This window comes from Homo sapiens, chromosome X (assembly GCF_000001405.40).
Source record: "Homo sapiens chromosome X, GRCh38.p14 Primary Assembly".
Classification (NCBI taxonomy): domain Eukaryota; kingdom Metazoa; phylum Chordata; class Mammalia; order Primates; family Hominidae; genus Homo; species Homo sapiens.
The window spans coordinates 19,708,294-19,728,381 of NC_000023.11; the positions used below are offsets into that span (position 1 = coordinate 19,708,294).

Consider the following 20,088-nt stretch of genomic DNA (forward strand, 5'->3'; position numbering starts at 1 on the left):
AAGGAAGAGGGCAGAAGTTCAGAATCGATATCTTGTCTAATCACATCTTTGGTGACTCCACAAATACTCTCCACCCCTTTGTGCAAAATTACAAGCCTCTGGGTCTTAGGAACAAACACAGCATTTCCAGGGCAATTCCTAGATGCTGATGGCACTGTCAGCAGGCTGAGTAGTGCAACCCCAAGGAGGGCTTGGCTCTCCCTAGGACAGAGGGCCCACTCCAACTTGCTTTTCCAAGGAGGAAAGTCAGGAGGAATGGGTATTCCGATGCAAAGAACGCCACCACTATACCATGGCTTCCCATACAATGGAAGGCAAATCAAGTACCCTGTACCATAAAGGATATGGATTTCTCATTCTAGCAAAGAAAGTCTAGATTACAAGGCAATCTTGGCATCCCACTCCTGACCCCTGCGACTCCACTGGCCCCATAGATGCTTCTTAAAATGAAGTTCTACTACCAATCTTTAAAGGGCTTTCATTTGCTGGATGTTATGTTAAAAGCAAACTCTGCAGACACAAATCTGAACATGAAACAAGTGAAATGACAAACGTCTGAAAACCAACACTCACAACCACAGAAGTCAAAGTCCTGACCAAAGTGACTTAAAATAACACCATCTGAAGATCTAGTGTTAGCTGAAGCCATAAAACTTACAGTTGTATGTAAGTTCATATGTTCAAAAAACCCTCTGTAAAAAGTAGCATCTAATCCAACACTGCACAAATGGCAAAGGAGAGAGTGATCTATTCTTAGAGAAAAGACTAACCCAATGGATGTAGGACCTGAAACAGAATAATGAGACTGCTCTTAAACCAAATCCCCGCATCGGACTTCCATAAAGGCCTGCCTGGTGTCAGAAGAATGATGTCTTCGCTACTTTCTCTCTGCCAGGCTAGTCCAGCCTCATGACTGTTACTGTTTTGGTAGCATAAAGTCCTACAAAGCTCACTGCCAACATGCCAAAGAGTAAGCCCTACAGAGGGCACAGGGGAGGGACCCAGAGGTGGCTGGTGGTAAAGATCACGTGACCTGATGCCAAGCACAATCATTCGCCCTCGCACTGGGATAGCTCACAAACCCTTCTGATATCCATCACCCTCTCCTCCTGCCAACCACATGAGTTAAAAAATAAAAGCCAGAATGGGCAATCATTTTGCAAATGAGGAATCCAGGACTCAATGACTTACCCCAGGTCACCAAGCTAGTAAGTGGCAGCATTTCCTTAGCCTAAGTTCATAGTTCTCTCTCTAGTGCTGGATAAACTAATTCAATTCACATTTTGTGCCAAACTCTCTGCAATCTGTACTCAACTTCTTCCTGCAACACTGTACCACGTCACTTAGGTCTCTGCCATGGACCTCTCATTACAGAGAACACCAAACTCCTGGAATGCTGCTTTTCGAGGCCTCAACTATAGCCTGTCACTGATTTGAATTTGTTTGCCAGTACCACCTGACCTACAACCCAGTTCAAGGGGGATGCTTGAAGTTGGGAGAAATTGTATTTCAGTTGCATCCATCCATCTTAAACTTAAGGAAGTCTAAGAAAGTCATTTGTCATTTTTTTCCTCTCCTGGAATTTCACTGGTGTTTACTAGTGAGTCTTGACCTTCCTTAAAGAGGTAAGGAGATGACAATGCCACCTCATTTCAATAGCTCACATAAACTAAAGGAAAAAAACTTATGACTTGCCTATGCCTGAGGTTTGGAATTCCTTAGTTTGAGCCACCACCTTCATGTCCAAATGAACTGGGAGTGGAATTTTTACAGTAGTCCCCCCTTATCAACAGTTCCACTTTCTGCAGTTTCAGTTACCTGTGGCCACCTAAGGTCCAAAAATATTAAATGGAATATTCCAGAAATAAACAATTCATAACTTTTCAATTGCATGTCATTCTCAGTAGTGTGATGAAACCTCATGCCATCCTGCTCCATCCTGTCCGGGATGTGAATCATCCATTTGTCCAGCGTCTCCACGCTACGGATGTTCCCTGCCCCTGAGTCACTGACACTGTCTGCTCCTCACATCTAACCACAGACAGCGTTGTGACTCCACGATCCAGGATCACTCAAAACAGATGATCCTCATTCTCATAGATCATCAGAAGGTCAATAGTAGCCAAACGCTACGTCACAATGCCCACATCATTCACCTCGCTGCATTACATCATGTAGGCATTTTATCATCTCACACCATCATAAGAAGGCTAAGTACAGTACAATAAGATATTTTGAGAAAGAGAAAGAGAACACATTCCCATAACTTTTATTATAGTATATTGTTAGTGTTGTATTTTATTATTAGTGTTTTATTATTATTTATTGGTGTTAATCTCTTCCTGCGCTTAATTTATAAATTAATCTTTCTCATAGATATGTACGTATAGGGAAAGACATAGTATATATAGGACTTGGCACTATTCATGGTTTCAGGCATCCACTAGGGGTCTTGAAATGTAGCACCCACGGGTAAGGGGGAACAACTGTATTAAGTGAAATAAGGGTTCGTTGATCACAAGCACTATGATACCACAATAGCCGATCTAATGATAACTGAGACAGCACACCCTCAACTCTCTCACTAGACCCCACGGCCCCCTTCCATTTGTGACCATTTACTGTTTAATAAAATAGTAACATTTATTGAGCACCTACTATGTGCCATAGACTGCTAAGCACTTTACATATGCCACCCCATTTAATCCTCACACTGAACCTCTGGGGTAGATTACTAACCCCCTTTTTACAGACAAGAAGACCTCGGAGGCACATAGAGATCATGTATTTTACCAGAGGATTTCAAACCAGGCAACGCAACTCCAGAAGCACTATCTCCCTCCCACATCTGACTGTTCTTAAGCATTCTCAGTCCTGGGTCTTGAGATCACAGAAGGGACTAGCTGCACTAACATGGTATTTGTTTGAAAGGTGGAACCAGGAAGGGAAAAACCACAAATCAGGAGCTTTTCCTTACAGCTGCTGGGCACTTGGGCCCTACAGGCCCCAGATTTAATAAAATAAAGCTGGTTGGATGGGGAGGCAATGCAATTAATTGCCTTCTCAGAAAAGGAAATAGCAGAAACTGACTACGGTGTCATGACCCAGTCCCCAAAACAGCACACACAACTATATTTTAGAGCCTACATCCTAGGATCTTACAGCATGTGAAAACTTTACTAGGCCAATTCATTCAGTGTCCGTGAAAATAAACTAATAACAACAAATAATGTATTGGATGAAAAAAGTCTTTGGGTCAACTGAAAACTTCCAACACTTATAAAGCTTCCCACCCCACCCCCACCCCACCACCTCTTTTTTTCACATCCCCAATTCCCCATGATGGAACAAGAGTAAAGCTACAAGGGTTTAAATCATCTGATATTTTCAAAGAATCCATCAAATTAATCAATTAGATCCTTACCACATACCTGGGGAACGTGGCAGTATTCTGAAATCATATTGCAAGGTAGAAACCACTGATAAAAAGCAAAAGAGGAAAATCAAAAGAAACCCCTAATTCCCAGTTTCCAGGGTTACTTCTGGCATTTTCTACAGGTATGGCCTGGGGACCACCTGCACCAGACTGTTAAAATGCAAGGCAGAACTACTGAACTCACTCTTTGGGGTTGGGGCCAGGGACCTGCATTTAAAGCTATCTCTTGAGTAACACACATGAAAATCTAAATCTCAGCAACAAATCAGCACCACAAATAACAGGTGATTAAAAGAAAAGAAACACCTTGTGGGAACAGGTGGTCTCCCCTTGGAAGACTCTAATCTATGTCTCTTATTCTTTGCTGCATATTGAAATCGACTAGGGAGCTTTCACAAAACTACTGATGCCTTCCTAAATAGCAGCTCCAGAGGAACTAGGTCTCCATAGAAAAATGGCTTCTTCTAAGCCTACGGCAAAGAAGATACAAAGTGAGACTAAAATATCTGGTTGTGCTAAAATTCATGAAGTACTCAAACATTTAAGGGATAATTTCAAAAGGACACAGGAGTCAGCTAGACAGGGCTTCCACTGACCAAAGTTGGGACAATACGGTATGTACTGAGGGAATTTATTACAATACATTCATTAAAAAATTCATGAGTCCATATTAATATGTTTAACAGGTAGCTAGACAGCTAGCTAAAGAAGATCAGATAGATAGTTATGGGGTGAGAAGTGAAAGCTCCTTTTTTCTCTTTTTTTTAACAAAAGAACATTGACAAATACAGAAATGATAGAAATATCCAGACAATAGCCATTTTATAACCATCATAGTAATAATTGATTCTGGGAAGAATCAACGGTTGCTAAAACCACTGGGCGAAAGCTTGTTGGGGATTAAGATATTTACCAAATCTCAAAGTATCTCCCCACAGTTACAAAAGGAAAATGGTCCCCTTGGAATGAAGAGAGCTGGCAGATACAGCCTTACCCAAGTGATCCAAGTTAACATTGCTAATCATAGGACAAATTGACATCACGTGCCTCCTGATAGGCTGCACTGAGAAGGACCTATAGAATATCGTCACCTATAGAATACTTCTATAACATCACCTATAGAATACTTCTGCCACAACATTTACCTAAATCCAACCACGAGGAAACAATCATGCAAATTTAAAATGAGGAGCCGTTTACAAAAACTGATCTGGTCAGGCATGGTCGCTCAAGCCTGTAATCCCAGCACTTTGGGAGGCTGAGGCAGGAGGATCACCTGAGGCCAGGAGTTTGAGACCATCTGGCCAATGTGGTGAAACCCTGTCTCTACTAAAAATACAAAAATTAGCCAGGCATGGTGGCGCACTCCTGTAGTCTCAGCTACTCGGGAGGCTGAGGCAGGAGAAACACTTGAACCCAGGAGACTGCAGTGAGCCAAGATTGTCCCACTGCACTCCAATCTGGATAACAGAGCGAGACTCTGTCTCAAAAAAAACAAAACAAACAAACAAAAAACTCATCTGATTTTTTTCTTAAAAACTTTTTTTTTTTGAGACAGGGTCTCACTCTGTTGCCCAGGCTGGAGTACAGTGGTGTGATCTTGGCTCACTGCAGCCTTGACCTCCCAGGCTCAAGTGATCCTCCCACCTCAGCCTCCTGGGTAGCTGGGACTACCGATGTGAGCTACCACACTGGCTAATTTTTGTATTTTTTGTAAAGATGGGGTCTCGCTATGTTGCTTAGGCTGGTCTCGAACTCCTGGGCTCAAGTGATCCTCCTGCCTCAGCCTCCCAAAGTGCTGGGATTACAAGAGTGAGTCATCACACCTAGCCAAAAAAAAAAAATTCTTATTCATATATAATAGTTGTACATTTTTAGGGGGTACATGTGATATTTTGTTCCATGCATAGAATGTGTAGTGAACAAGGCAGGGTATTTGAGTGTCCATCACCTTGAGCATTTATCATTTCTGTGTATTTGGAGCATTTCAATTCCTCTTTTCTAGCTATTTTGAAATATACGACACATTGTTGTCAACTATAGTCACCCTACTCTGCTACTGAATACTAGAACTTATTCTTTCAATCTAACTGTATGTTTGTATCCAGTAACCAACCTCTCTACTCTCTACCTCCACGAGATCAACCTTTTTAGCTCTTCATGTTTACCTCAGCACTATTCACAGTAGCAAAGATATGCAATCAACTTAAGTGTCCATCAACAGAAAAGTGGATAAGGAAACTGTGGTACATATACCCAATGGAATGCTACTCAGCCATAGAAAGAATGAGATCCTGTCATCTGCAACAACATGGATGGAACTGGAGATCATTATGTTAAGTGAAATAAGCCAGGCACCGAAAGACAAACATCGCACGTTCTCACTTTGTAAGATCTAAAACTCCAAACAATTGAACCCAATGGACATAGAGAATAGAAGGATGGTTATCAGAGGCTAGGAAGGGTAGTGGGAGCAGGTCGGGGGTGAGATGGGGATGGTTAATGGGTACAAAAAACATAGTTAGAAAGAATGAATAAGACCTACTATTTGATAGCACAACAGGATGATATAGTCAATAACAACTTAATCATACATTTTCAAATTACTAAAAGACTATAATTGGATTGTTAGTAACACAAAGGATAAATGCTTGAGGGGATGGATACCCCATTCTCCATGATGTGATTATTACACACTGCATTCCCGTATCAAAATATCTCATGTATCCCATAAATATATACACCTATGTACCTACAAAAATTAAAAATAAAATTTATTTAAAAAAAAGAAAATAAAATGTGGTATAGATACCTAATAGACTACTACTCAGCCATAAAAAAGAACGAGATCCTGTCTTTGGCAGCAACATGGATGGAACTGGAGGTCATTATGTTAAGTGAAATAAGCTAGGCACAGAAATATTTTTTTCTTAAGTCAATATCACAAAAGATATTTAAAAGGCTAGAGAATTATTCTAGATTTAAAAAGAGTAAAGACATATGACAACTAAATATAATGTATGATCTCTAATTGAATTCTGCATTTTTAAAAGGCTATAAAAACATTGAGAAAACTGGGGAAATTTGAATATGAACTAATTCTAGATAATAGCATGTTAATGTTACATTTCCGGAGTTGTTAATTCTATCGCAGTTACCTAGCAGAATGTCCTCATACTTAGGAGATACATTCTGAAGTATTTAGGGATGAAGTGTCCTGATGTTTGTAATTTATTTTCAAACCGTTTAAGGAAAAAAATCAGGCCAGGCTCAGTGACTCACACCTGTAATCCCAGCACTTTGGGAGGCCAAGGCAGGAAGATCACTTGAGCCCAGGAGTTCAAGACCAGCCTGGGCAACATGGCAAAACTTCGTCTCTATAAAAAATGAAAAATTAGCTTGGCATGGCAGCATGTGCTTGTGGTCCCAGCTAGTACAGAGGCCAAGGTGGGAGGATTGTCCGAGCTTGGGGAGGTCAAGTCTGCAGTGAGCTGTGATCACACCACTGCACTCCAGCCTGGGCGACAGAGTGAGACCTTGTCTCCAAAAAAAAAAAAAAAACGCCAAAAATCCCAATGATTAAAAAAAGTAATCAAAAAGAGTATGTGTGGAGATTGGATAGAGGATAGAGATAGAAAGCAAATGTGACAAAATGCTAATAATTGGTAAATCTAGGTGGGTGTTCACTGTACTATTGTTTCAAATTTTCTGTGCATTAAAATATTTTCTGATTAAAAATTTTAAGGGGAAATACCAATGCCTGGACCCACCTCTAGAGATTCAAATGTCAATATTGGTCTGAGGTGCAGCCTGGGCATCTGGATTTTAAAAGATCCCCATGTGATTCTAATGTGCAGCCAAGGTCCAGAGACACCTAGTCAGATCTGTTGCCCAAAGAAGAGCATCAGGCCAAAAACGAATGGGACTCTTCCAGGATCAGGTTATTTTAGGTCCTACATTCGGTGTCTTTTCCCACAAGGGAGAGAACTCAGACTTCTAAATATCTGACAATAGTATTTAATACATAGCACAGGTGAATGCTGCTGTGCTGTGATGTTTATTTCACAGACCTTTGGAACAGTTGCAGTAAGTAGTTTCTAGCTCTGGAAATGTGTTCCTGGGTTGGGGCAGGAGAGTGGAGAAGATGGACGTCTCTGCTATGATTCATTAACAAACACTGCTAGGTGCCAGGGGCTCAGGGGGTGGGGGGAAGGCAGCAACTCCCCAGTTACTGAGCAGCATGCCAGCTTCTTTAAAGGCTGTTCTTGAGTTGGAAACTTCAATTTATGCAAGAAGCCATGTTTTCTATCTCAGGATGGAGAAAACAATACAAACTTAACTAAATGTATAGATTCACACATTTTTTACTTGGGACGTCCAGTAGATTCCGAGTACAAGGGAAGAGAAGGTAGATTTACCGATCTTGCAGAACCCCTGCATCATACTCTTTACTGGAAACATTTCCACTCGTCATCCTGTTTCAACATAATGCAACTCACAGGAAGAGGAGGACACTTCAGAAGCCAATGGCACTCCAAATAAAAGGACCCTGTGGGTGTTTCTTTACAAACCCCTCTTGGCTGTACCTGGACTGTTGCAGTGGAAATGTATAATATTTAATTAACCAGCATTGTGTGGTCCCTGGAGATGAGCCTGCTTGATTTTCACAGGGATGTGTATAATCAACATCTCTGCACCGCAGAACACAGGAAATCCATTTGCCTGCTACTTCAAAGGCAGAGGGCATCTGACAAGTGGGTATAGCTATGCCAGTGCTCATTTTCTCCCAAGTCTTGGCAGGATATAAGAGAAAATGTAGAACTAGTAGGGAACCATTTATTAGAGCCTTTGAGCCATGGAGGGTAGGAAGGGAGGCAGATAACATCAAAAGTCACAGAAGAAAAATCACCTTCATCTTGGAAAAGAAAGAAATGAACATTGAGTGCCTGCTACATGCCAGGAACCACGCTTGGCATGTAACTGGCCTTCCCTCATGTCCTGAGGCCAACTCTAGGAGGTTCAGCATGCTGGCCCCATCTTTATGATGAGCACAGGAAGCCTCAATAACTTGTCCAGGGTACATGGGTTAAATAAGTTGTGGTCTTCAGCCCTCTTCTTCCACCAACGCAAGATGATACCAGGAAGGCAGATTGGGAGTGAGTTTCTAGTGGACTCTGGATGCCAAGCTAAAGATGAGGACTTTATTTTGTGGGCAATAAGAAACCAGAGGAGGCTTCTGGATAGAGAAGCGTAGAACAAGATGTGATGAGGACAGGGATCCAGGGAGAAGGGCTCGGTGTCAGGGATATGCAGAATGGCAATGGGGAGGGGTCCCAGAAGCAGGAGATGGCCCAGCAGAAGAATGAAAGACACAGCTGGAAAAACACAGTGGAAAGAATTACACACCCAGAGAAGGAGAGGCCACAAAGCAGACATGGACACAGACATACGCCAAACAATTGTCAGCTGACATGCCTGTTGCCTCCTTTGGGGGCCAATGACCTTCTCTTACTTGTCCTTCATACCTGCACCTAGCTCAGTGTCTGTTTGAGTAGACACTCAATCCATTCTCGACAAATGAATGAACTAATGAATTCCACATCCTGAAAGGTGGAGGGAAAGGGAGTTAAAGCTTCAACATGGTATTAAACAGGGCAGCAAGACCCAGTCTCTACACAAAATTAAAAAATTAGCCAGGCATGGTGGCACACACCTGCAGTGCCAGTTACTTGAAAGGTTGAGGCAGGAAGACTGCTTGAGCCCAGGAGGTCAAGGCTGCAGTGAGCCATGATTGTGCCACTGCACTTCAGCCTGGGCAACGGAGTGAGACTCTGTCTCAAAACAAAAATATATATATACCAAACAAACAAAAGTCAATGCCATCTGGAATTGTTGATGCTATAGGGATGGAAAGATGGTAGACCCTGCAGTCTTGTTGGTGTGTCGAAGTTGGTCAATTAATTGACCAACTCATTCTCCATCAACTTTGTAGTCTGAAGCATCTGTAATACTAAATAATGCTAATCTATGCCTCTAACTGCTTTCCTCTTACAAACGTATGGCCCCCTGTGAATTAACTTTACTAAACCGTAGAGCAGGGCTATATATGAACAAGAAATGACGTATGTTTGATTTTATATTCGGTCCCCTTAAAAGACAGAAAACATTTGGTTTAAGTAGGCAAAGATATATGTATAAGAAGGTTCAGGGCAGCATTGTTTCTAATAGCAAATGCATATATGCACAGAGATCTACATGTGAAACCTGGATGTCTACTGGGAGGGGAAGGTATATCCAGCAGCCATTAAATATAACAAGTAGCTCTACGTGTATCAGTGTGAAAAGGTGTCCATAGTACACTAAAAGACTAAATCACGTAATATGTATACTATGATCCCAATTTTATAAATACACACACACACACACACACACACACACACACACACACACTCATAACTCTAAGCAGCATGTAGCATTTTAGTTACTCCTGATAACTCGGAACCTAGCACAGAGTATACATTCAACAAATGTTCATTAATAAATAAATGAATCCATTCAACATTCAACTAATTTATGAAGGTCTAATACAATTAAATGAATGAGGGCAACAGAGTAAGAGACTGTCTCAAAAAAAGATACAAATGAATGAGAGAAAGGGGGTATATGTACACGGACACACTTGTGTAAGCACAGAAAATGGTATGGAAGGCTATACCCCAAAGTAACAGTGATACTTCAGGGGAGGCAGATTGGGGGAAGGGTAGAAACTCATTTAAATGCTTCTACAATATCAATTTGTCTTCACAAAGAGCACGTAATATACTGTAATCACTTTTTAAAAACATCACAGTCACCTATTAAAATAATTACCTTGCATTATGAAACTTACCTTTCTGATCACACTTTGATTACATTAATGGTAAAGTGAGTTGGTGTTTTGAAAGAAATAAATATCAATTCAATCAGCAAGAAAGGTGCTTTTCATGGGGCTGAATGACAAGGGGCCTCGGACCTCCCAATGACAACTGGTTGTGGCTGGTCTACGAACACAGCAGGAGGTGTGAGCTCAGAGACAGGGCTCCACATCTGTAGCCCACATTAGTCATTATTCTGATCAGATGCTGTTACAGAACCCTGAGGAGGCCCATACTATTCCATCAGTGACCAAGCCAAGGTTATCTTCCCTGGCCAGACACCACCAGCCTACACAGCCCAGACAGCCATCTCTCACTAGGTGGAGGGGCCCTGTGGTGTCCATCTTCCGAGCTCGCCCCTCACTCATGGGAACACATACATACACACACACATACATACTCATTCATTCAGCCGTGGGGGCCCCTTCTCTGGGTTCTCCTAACAACCATTGCTTTTCTCTAGCACTGTCCTCCTTCCATTGTGTTTTTGTTATCTGTGAGTGTCGGTTGCTGTCTGTCTCCATCTTTTCAACCCTGACACCTCTCAGCTCTTTCACGCACATCTGTATCAACCAATTCGACTCACTCACATCTGCCTCATGATGGTTAGGGCGATGCCACTGCACCACTCTAGATCCCTATGTGGACCCCAGGTGCCATATATCTAGAAAATCCCCGATCCAGGCCCTCCTCAGCCCTATGAACTTCAGAGTCTAATGCCTCATTTAAAGAAGTCACTGAAAACTGTCTTAAATTTGGGCAATTAACATCTGACCCCCCCAAATCAAGTTTCTACTTCCAACGTAATAGTCAAAGGGGCCATCCATTGAATAAACTGAGTTTCTGCAAAGAGGAGCTGTATATGTATATTTTAACATTAACATTGTCATCTGATATTTCTTTAGAAGCCACATCTGTAATTTTGGTGCCATGAGCATGAAGAACTCAACATCCTCCACCTCAACTATATCTTATAAAAATGATATGTGAATTAGCCATGTGAAAGGGTGCAGGGGCTCTGATTTCACTGCTCATGGATACGTGGTCTTCACTTAAAGCATTAAAGCACATAAAAGAGAACCCTGGGGCCAGGCATGGTGGCTCACACCTGTAATCCTAGCACTTTGGGAGGCTGAGGCAGGAGGATCACTTGAGCCCAGGAGTTCAAGACCAGCTTGGGCAACATAGTGAGACCCCACCTCTAACTAATAATAATAATAATAATAATAATAATAACAATAATAATAATAATAATAGAGAACCCTGAGTTAACAATACAGAAGAGACAAACGGCCCAACTCACCCAGCATTGCAACCCCTGCGTGGCTCTCTGCCTCGGTTTTCTCACGTATAAAATTGGGATGATGGAGACAGACCTACTTTCCAAGGGGCTTACTTCCACCTGACTCTCTCCCTTTTTTCCATTTGGCTTTACATTCAGGAATCTGTTAAAAGACAGCTCTGTTAATGTTTTTTTCACCAGCCTTCCCTTCCAATCAGAGTGAGATAAAGGAATCACGTCATAACATAAAATCAGTGACGTCTCTAAACGTCCCTCTGCTTTTCATCTTTCTTCAGGCTGGTCCCAGGCATTGGTTTTGGCCTTTCAGCACAACCCTCAATCCAAATAACCCAACCTCAGCAGGCCATACCAGGGACACTTCCCTAATGTGTCCCTGGCTTGACTTTCCCCCAGCCCTGGCAGCTAGCTCTCCAGAGGAGAGGGAGTCTGGATTTTCAGAGGAGAAAATCCAATACGTAAAGCACACTGCTTTTCCCTGCAAGGCTAATTTTGGCAAAATGCCCAAAAGAACTCAACATATTTATAGGGTTTTGTTTGATCTACTTTTAAACGCTCCATGCAGAGTCATTCAAGTGAAATGAGAATACAGAATTTCAAAGGAAAAATTGAAGGAAGGTTCTAAATGTAAGTTATTTATTGAGCATAAACAAGATTTCTCCTTTCTATCCAACATACTCCCTCTAACATATCTATTTTTAAAGGCATTCTCAAACTTTGCTGCTGACAAATGAATATATCAGACACCTAACTTTTACAGTTAAAGGTAGAATGGGCAGGGAGGGGGAAAAGATGAGGGAATGAGGGGTAGGAGAGGAGAAAAAAAGACACAAACATTTGAAGAACTGTAACAAAGGTCTAGAAAATCCTAAAGACCTTCATCTGGGATACTTCTGTCTTGCCTAATCTTAGAGAATTACTGGGAGGTATGTGTGTGTGGGTTGTGGGGGTGGGAGATACACACCATAAACAAATCTAGGGTTTCCCAGTTTTTAAAATCAGTACCAAAAATGGCCACTGTGCTCGGAGATTTAGAAAGTGTCAAAGAATTCCACATGTACCCTCTCTTTTGGGGGTAGGGGGAGATCTTCATTGCAGGTAGTCATAATATTTTTAAATTTTGACTCATTTTTAATATAGTTTCCCTTCTCATCCCCATCAGAATAAAGAGGGGAGGAAGCCTAGGTATTTCTGAATTTTCTTGATGCAAATGGGAGTTTATATCCCTGCAATTCATTCCTCATAATCTGAAAGGCTAAACCCCTTAAGCAGAGGTCCTTAACTGGGGTGTGTGGATAGAATTCAGGGGGTCTAAACTTACATGGGAAGAAAAATACATCTTTTACTATCTTCTGAAATTTGGCCTTTATTCTCACCGTGAATCTAAGCAACAAACCACAATGGTACTAGCAGCATCTATGAAATTTATTTATTTCCCACTACATGAATAGATATTTTCATTTCATTTCACAGTTGCAGTTATCTTGAACTATCATTTACACTCACCCCTGCTTCAAAATTATGATCACCTCCTGACCCACTGCTGGATGTTGCTATAATAAAGCATATGTCTTGCTTGTATTTTTGTACTATTTTGACAACTATTTTAACATAATTGGTTTCCTTTGTAATTCTTTGGTTCCCTTTTTATTCATTTACCAACATTATTCTGAAAAGGGGTCCACAGGCTTCACCAGACTGGCAAACAGGTTCCATGGAAATTTTTTAAATAAAAAGAACCCCCAATCCCTGCTTTCAAGATTGTAATTTCCAGGCTGGGTGCAGCGGCTCACACCTATAATTCCAGCACTATGGGAGGTCAAGGTGGAAGGATCCCTTGAGGGCAGAATTTCAAGGCCTGAGCAACGTGGCGAGAACCTGTCTCTACAAAAAATAAAAATAAAAAAATTTAACAGAGCATGGTGATGTGTGCCTGTAGTCTCAGCTACCCGGGAAGCTGAGATGGGAGGACCACTTGAGCCCATGAGTTCTAGGTTGCAGTGAGCCATGACTGCACCACTGCACTCCAGCCTGGGCAACAGAGCAAGAACCTATCTTTAAAAAAATTACAGTTTCCAAGGAAACCCAAAGGTACAAGGGTAAACTATTTATATTTAACAAAGCAGTAAACATAACATTTGGACTCTGTTCATTGGAATGCTTCATAAGCTTTGGAGTAACACATCATAACAAAAGAGCCACTTTGGGCAACTTCGCAAGTCCTGAACCACAAATGGCCACGTGGCACGGTGCTCATGAAGCTGCTTGCCAAGTGCCCTCTTATTACTTGGGTCAGTGGCTGGCGAGAGCCCCACTCTGTCATCTGGTGCCCTGGCTTGGCTGAGCTCAATGCCCATGATTTCTTCCAGGGAGGCCAGCACAGCTAATTTGCAGGCTGACACCTGCCACAGCCTCATTACCCTCCCCCAACTCAGCCCTACTTTTCTCTCCCTTTTCTGACTACTTAAATTCTGGAAAGCACTACAAGTTTCCCCCTATCCTTCGGGTATAAAGAGGTCACTAGGGCTTCCATGTACCCACACGGCTTCATACACACCCCTTGCTCCCAGCCCTACTCAGCTGCACTGGTGTGTGTGTGTGTGTGTGTGTGTGCGCGTGCGCACTGGTGTGTGTGTGTGTGTGTGTGTGTGTGTGTGTGTGTGTGTGTGTGTCCGTCCCCAGTGCCTGCCGGGCTGCAAGCACAGAAATATTCCATAGAAGGAGGGAAGTTGATGCTAATGTTTATAATTGCACAGGATCTGCCTGGAGGGATTGCCTGACTTCCACTGAGGTCCATTTCTGTGGTATCACTAGAGGATGAAGGACCCTATGGTCAGCATGGCCAGCTGGGACCAGAGGCATCTGACCAGTTCTTCAAAAAAAAAAAAGAAGTCTAAAAAAAATGTCTCAACCAGGCATGCTGGCTCATGCCTGTAATCCCAGCACTTTGGGAGGCCAAGGCAGGCAGATCTCTTGAGCTCAGGAGTTCGAGACTAGCCTGGGCAACATGGCAAAACCCCATCTCCACAAAAAACAAAACAAAACAAAACAAAATTAGCCAGGCGTAGTGACACACGCCTGTAATCCCAGTTACCTGGGAGGCTGAGGTGGATTACCTGAGCTTGGGAAGTTGAGGCTGCAGTGAGCCAAGATCACGCCACTGCACTTCAGCCTGAGTGACAGAATGAGACTCCGTCTCAAAAAAAAAAAAAAAAAAAAAAGTGTTAAAAGTAAAAGAGTCAAGAAAACACCAATTCCACTTTCAGGAAGTTATACTCCAGATAACTCACATGAAATGTACAAAGATATATGCATAATGTCCACTGCTACATTAGTCAGAATAGTGAAAAACCAGAATTATCCTAAACGTCCTTCAATCAGGGAACTGGTTAATTAAGCCATAGGTGTATCTCCACACAAACTAGCAAAGAGAAGCATAGCTCTAAATGAACTGATACGGCAAGATTTCCAAGATTCTCGTCAACTTAATACAAAAATTGCAATATAGCCTGAACAGTATGATCCCATCTGTGTTTTTAAAAAATGCCAAGATGTATGTACCACTATGTGTTTGAAATTGACATCTTTATGATCAAATGACTATCTGCATCTGCTTATGGTTCCTCCTAATATCTACACAGAGATCTGTAGGGATGACCATGAACCAAGTCTCTTCCAGGAAGTATGACTCAGGGAAGGGATTTGATGTGACTCTTTACACCATGACTTGACTCTGTTAATTTTTTACACTAAACATGTATTATTTTTATAGTAAGTCTAAGAAAAGTTAGGATGAGTCTAAAAGAAAAGGTCAAACTAGAAAATGTTTTAAAAGAGCAGAGAGGTGTAAACAACCCAATAGCACAAAAGCTGCCCTACTGAGCAGATGATTGTGTGGGGATCAGAAAAACAACAAATCAGTCCCCTCTTGGTGGGGTGGGGAATAAGCATCATCCAGAAAAGGGCAGATTATTAAGCAGATGTCCCCCGCCGACCCCACCAAACAAACAGGTTAGTAATGCACGTCCTATCTATTTATTCGAAGCAGATAAAGACTTTTCTCTTTATTTAAACAAATCCCACTTTCCTTGTAAATACAGGAAAGGTGCAAAGGTGTATTTTTTTAAAAGAGGGGGTTATATCTCACCCAGACTTCATTTTCCAAACTGATCCATACCTTTCCTCCCCCTCTCAGAGGGCAGAAAGTGAGTGTCATGAAAAGTGTAAACTTAGAAGTTATAAATCTAGAAAGTGTCAGTCTAAAAATCCTGAGGCGAAAAAAAATGAATGAAGATTCATTTGCAGAATAGAGAAAGAGCAGAGAAAAATAGAGAAAGTAGGGAAAAATAAATCCACATTAATCTCCCCAACAATAATTTTTGTCAGCATTTAAATATTGTATTCAGCACTTAATTGTCTTTACCTCAAAGGGCTTTATTATAAAATTTTCTATATATTACGTATATCTCTTTTTGCAAGACGAAACTTCCCGGCAGGCAGGAATTCGGTTTTTCTAATGGTCTGCCGCAGAGATCAGCAAACTATTACTGTAAAGGGCCAGAGAGTCAATGTTTCAGGCTTTGTGAGCCATATGGCCTCTGTAGCAACTACTCAACTCTGCCATTGTAGTGGTGAAAACAACCATAGACCACACATAAATGAATGGGTGTGCCTGTGTGCCAATAAAACTTGACTTACAAAAACAGCCAGTGCCAGGTTTGGCCCATGGGCCATCGTTTGCTGACTTCTGGTTTATAGGAAGAAGTGTTAAGAGTCCAAATCAGAAACCAGGGAATATTTTTTTAAAAAGGAAGAACAAGAGACATGGCTAAGGTTGAATCATCAGCTTACATGTGACCCCCTCCCAGACACCTTCCCTGACTGCTTTTGAGGCAGGGTTATGGTCCCCTGCAACCACCACCACCAATAACAACCATGAGAGAGCACAGCACCCAGTGTATAATGTTCTCTTTACCCTGCCCACGCTGCCTGGGGATTGTTTGATTCTCAAATCCTAGACTCTGTGAACAGGAACTCAGCTGGCCTCCTTGGGGATTACTACAGGCTAGCCCAGAACAGACCTTTAACAACCATCTCATAAACAAAGTTAGAACAAAACATGTAAGTAAATAAGGGGATGAAGAAGAAAGAAGAATTAAAAATGACCCCAAAGTGTCGATGGGAGGAAGTGAAGGTTGGTAATGCCACCAACTAAAATGCAGAACACAGCTGAGCACGGTGGCTTACACCTGTAATCCCAGCACTTTGGGAGGTTGAGGCAGGCAGATTGCTTGAGACCAGGAGTTTGAACCCAGCCTGGGCAACATAGCAAGACCCTGTCTCTACTCTAAAAAAAAAAAAAAAAAAAATAGATAAATTAGCCAGGTATGGTGGCACACACCTGTAGTCCCAGCTACTCGGGTAGGCTGAGGTAGAAGGATTGCTTGAGCCCTGGAGGTGGAGGCTGCAGTGAGCCATGATTCCGCTACTGCACTCCAACCTCAGTGACAGAGTGAGACCCTGTCTCAAAAAAATAAATAAAAACAAATAAAATGCAGAATACAGAAGCAACAGGAGTCTGACAGGAGAGAGAATCTGCTGCTCAACCACATAGGGACAGTTGGGGACACAGTGACTGTCTCCCATCTGCCACTCCACCACAGACCACCAGACGTGGGTCAGCTCCCACCAGAAATAGGTTCAGGGATGGGCAGGCAGTCCTAGGTCAGGGTGGTACAGTGAGAGACAAAGGTGGGTCTGCCCAGAGCATCTAAATGAAGAGAGGTCCCCTGCACTTCCCCACTGGATGTAAACTGGGAAGTCCACTGTTGCTCCACTTGCTGGTCACAGCACAAAGCCAACTCCAGGAGAGGCAGGGCACAGAAAAGAAACCTGGGCCCTGACAAGCCTGCCCTGTGTGTGTACAACTTCCTGTTACACAAGACAGGTATTTCCTCATGACCTACGCCAGATGGAACCACGTTGCCTATGACTTGCAGCCCAGAAACCAGTAGCCAGCACAGAGTGTCTGAGAGTGGACATGAAGGCAGCAAGGAGGGAGGGCCAGCCTAGAGGTTGGGCTTAGGGAATCGTATGCTTCATGGCATTAGCTGAACCCAGGAAGATGCCAAAGACAGGACTATAGAAACAGCTTACACTTCAGAAGTTGGAGAAGAGGACTCAATCAAATATAATAGAGAAAGGAGTAGAGCGGGAGTGGGAGGGGCAAATAGAAGCACAAAAGGCAAAACAGAATGTTTCCATAGGTGGTAATCCAAGGTGCTGCATGGAGTTTGGCAGAGGCGGCATGGAGGAAGGCGTCTGACAGACCCAGGTTCAAACCCAAACTACACCACTCACTAACAGTGTGGCCTTGGATAGGTCTTATAACCTCTCTGAGCCTTGCTTTTTCCAACTGCAAAATGAGGCCAATGCCACCTACTTCTCAGGGTTGTTTAAAGGACTGCATAGATGTCTCCACTACAACATTTGCATAGGTAACTAGGGCGTACTGATTGCATTAAGGTCCTAATTCTTTTTTTTTTTAACTTTTATTTTAGGTTCAGGGGTACATTGTGCAGGTTATATAGGTAAACTCATGTCATAGGGGTTTGTTGTACACATAATGCAAGCAAGATACACAGAGCAGCTTAATGTTGTATGCTGCTGGGGTTTTGTAGTAATTTGTTATGCAGCAATATTGTAGCAATAGATAACTGATACGACAACACTTGACACAGCGCAAGTCCTCAAAAAAACGTTTAACACAACATTCAGGGAGGAAGGAGGTTGCAAATATTTTATCTTATTCTTCCATCCTGGTGAGTTAAGTGTTCTCTCTCTTTTCTCCACATTCATCAGAGCCCAAAGGGTAAACAGAAGTTTCTAGAAACATTGCTTTTTAGAGTTAGGAACACTAATTTTAAAGGACAGAGAAAGGTTATTAATTTTTTACTTATTGTACTATGTTTATCTTTAACTAACAAATAAAAATGAAAAGAAAACAGGAGAAGGAATGCTCTCTTGACCCAGAATTCTCTTACCCAAGTCATCCATCACGCTTCTCAAGAAACACACACAATGCAACTGAGACAAGGTAACATACATGACAGATCAACTGTAATTGCTAATTGATAGAATTTCTTAGCTGGTAGTGGGTAGAAGGGTGTTGGGTATTTGTCATGTTATTCTTGATCCTTTTTTATTGTGGTAAAGCATTCATAACATAAAATTTACCATCTTAACCATTTTAAGTGTACAGTTCAGTGGCATTAAGTACACTCACATTGTTGTGCAACTATCGCCAACATCCATCTCCAGAAGTCTTTTCATTTTGCAAAACTGAAATTATATACCTATGAAACAATAACTGCCCATTATCCCTCCCTCAGCCCCTGCAAACCACCATCCTACTTTCTGTCTCTATACATTTGACTACTCTAGGTACCTCACATAAGTGGAATCATATAGTATTTGTCTGTTTGTGTCTGGTTTATTTCACTTAGCATAATGTCCTCAAAGTTCATCCATGTTACAGCATGTGTCATAATTTCTTTCCTTTTTAAGGCTGGATAATATTTGTTTATCAATTCATCCTCAATGAACACTTGGGTTGCTTCCACCTTTTGCCTATTGCGAATAATGCTGCTCTGAATGTGGGTGTGCAAATATTTGTTCAAGTCCCTTGTTGATCCCTTTCTATGTGTCTCTGTTAAAACCTCATTTTGAAATATTAAACATGCTTTAAAAAATATCACTTAGGCCGGGCGTGGTGGCTCATGCCTGTAATCCCAGCATTTTGGGAGGCCGAGGCAGGCAGATCACAAGGTCAAGAGATTGAGACTATCTTGGCCAACATGGTGAAACCCAGTATCTACTAAAAATACAAAAACGTGCTGGGCGCGGTGGAACGTGACTGTAAGTCCCAGCTACTCAGGAGGCTGAAGCAGGAGAATCACTTGAACCCGGTTGCAGTGAGCCGAGATCACACCACTGCACTCCAGCCTGGAAACAGAGCGAGACACCATCTCAAATAAAAAAGTATCACTTAGCTAGCAATCTTTAGCTATCATCTAACAGGTTGAGGAGAAGGAACTGGCAGCTAGAATTTGTGATTCTATCCCACACCCACTGAAATAAATATGGAGATGATATGCAAAAGCCTTTGGAAGAGGCAGTTCAGGTTGAATATCCCTCATCAGAAAAGCTTGGGACCAGAAGTGTCTTGGATTTCAGATTTTTTTTTCATGTTTTGGAATATTTGCATTATACTTGCCAGTTGAGTATCTGTAATCTGATATCCAAAATGCTCCAATGAGCATTTTCTTTAAACGTCACGTCAGCACATAAAAAGTTTCAGATTTTGGAGCATTTCAGATTTTGGATTTTCACATTTGGGATGCTAAACCTGTATTCTGAAGCATGCTGAGCTGAAGGCA

At 42.0% G+C, this 20,088-nt stretch overlaps 1 protein-coding gene across 27 annotated transcripts in view, besides 1 other annotated feature; it reads right to left on the reverse strand.

Annotated features, from left to right (window-relative positions):
* The window catches only part of SH3KBP1 (SH3 domain containing kinase binding protein 1), a 353,624-nt gene that overhangs the window by 174,317 nt on the left and 159,219 nt on the right, over positions 1-20,088 (reverse strand). The window lies entirely within an intron of this gene.
* Positions 14,184-14,684: an enhancer, noted in NCBI's record as "H3K4me1 hESC enhancer chrX:19740595-19741095 (GRCh37/hg19 assembly coordinates)". NCBI's record gives its function as "activates a minimal SCP1, AML or CMV promoter by ChIP-STARR-seq in naive H9 embryonic stem cells {active_cell/tissue: H9 hESC(naive)}" and the evidence as "EXISTENCE:reporter gene assay evidence [ECO:0000049][PMID:30033119]".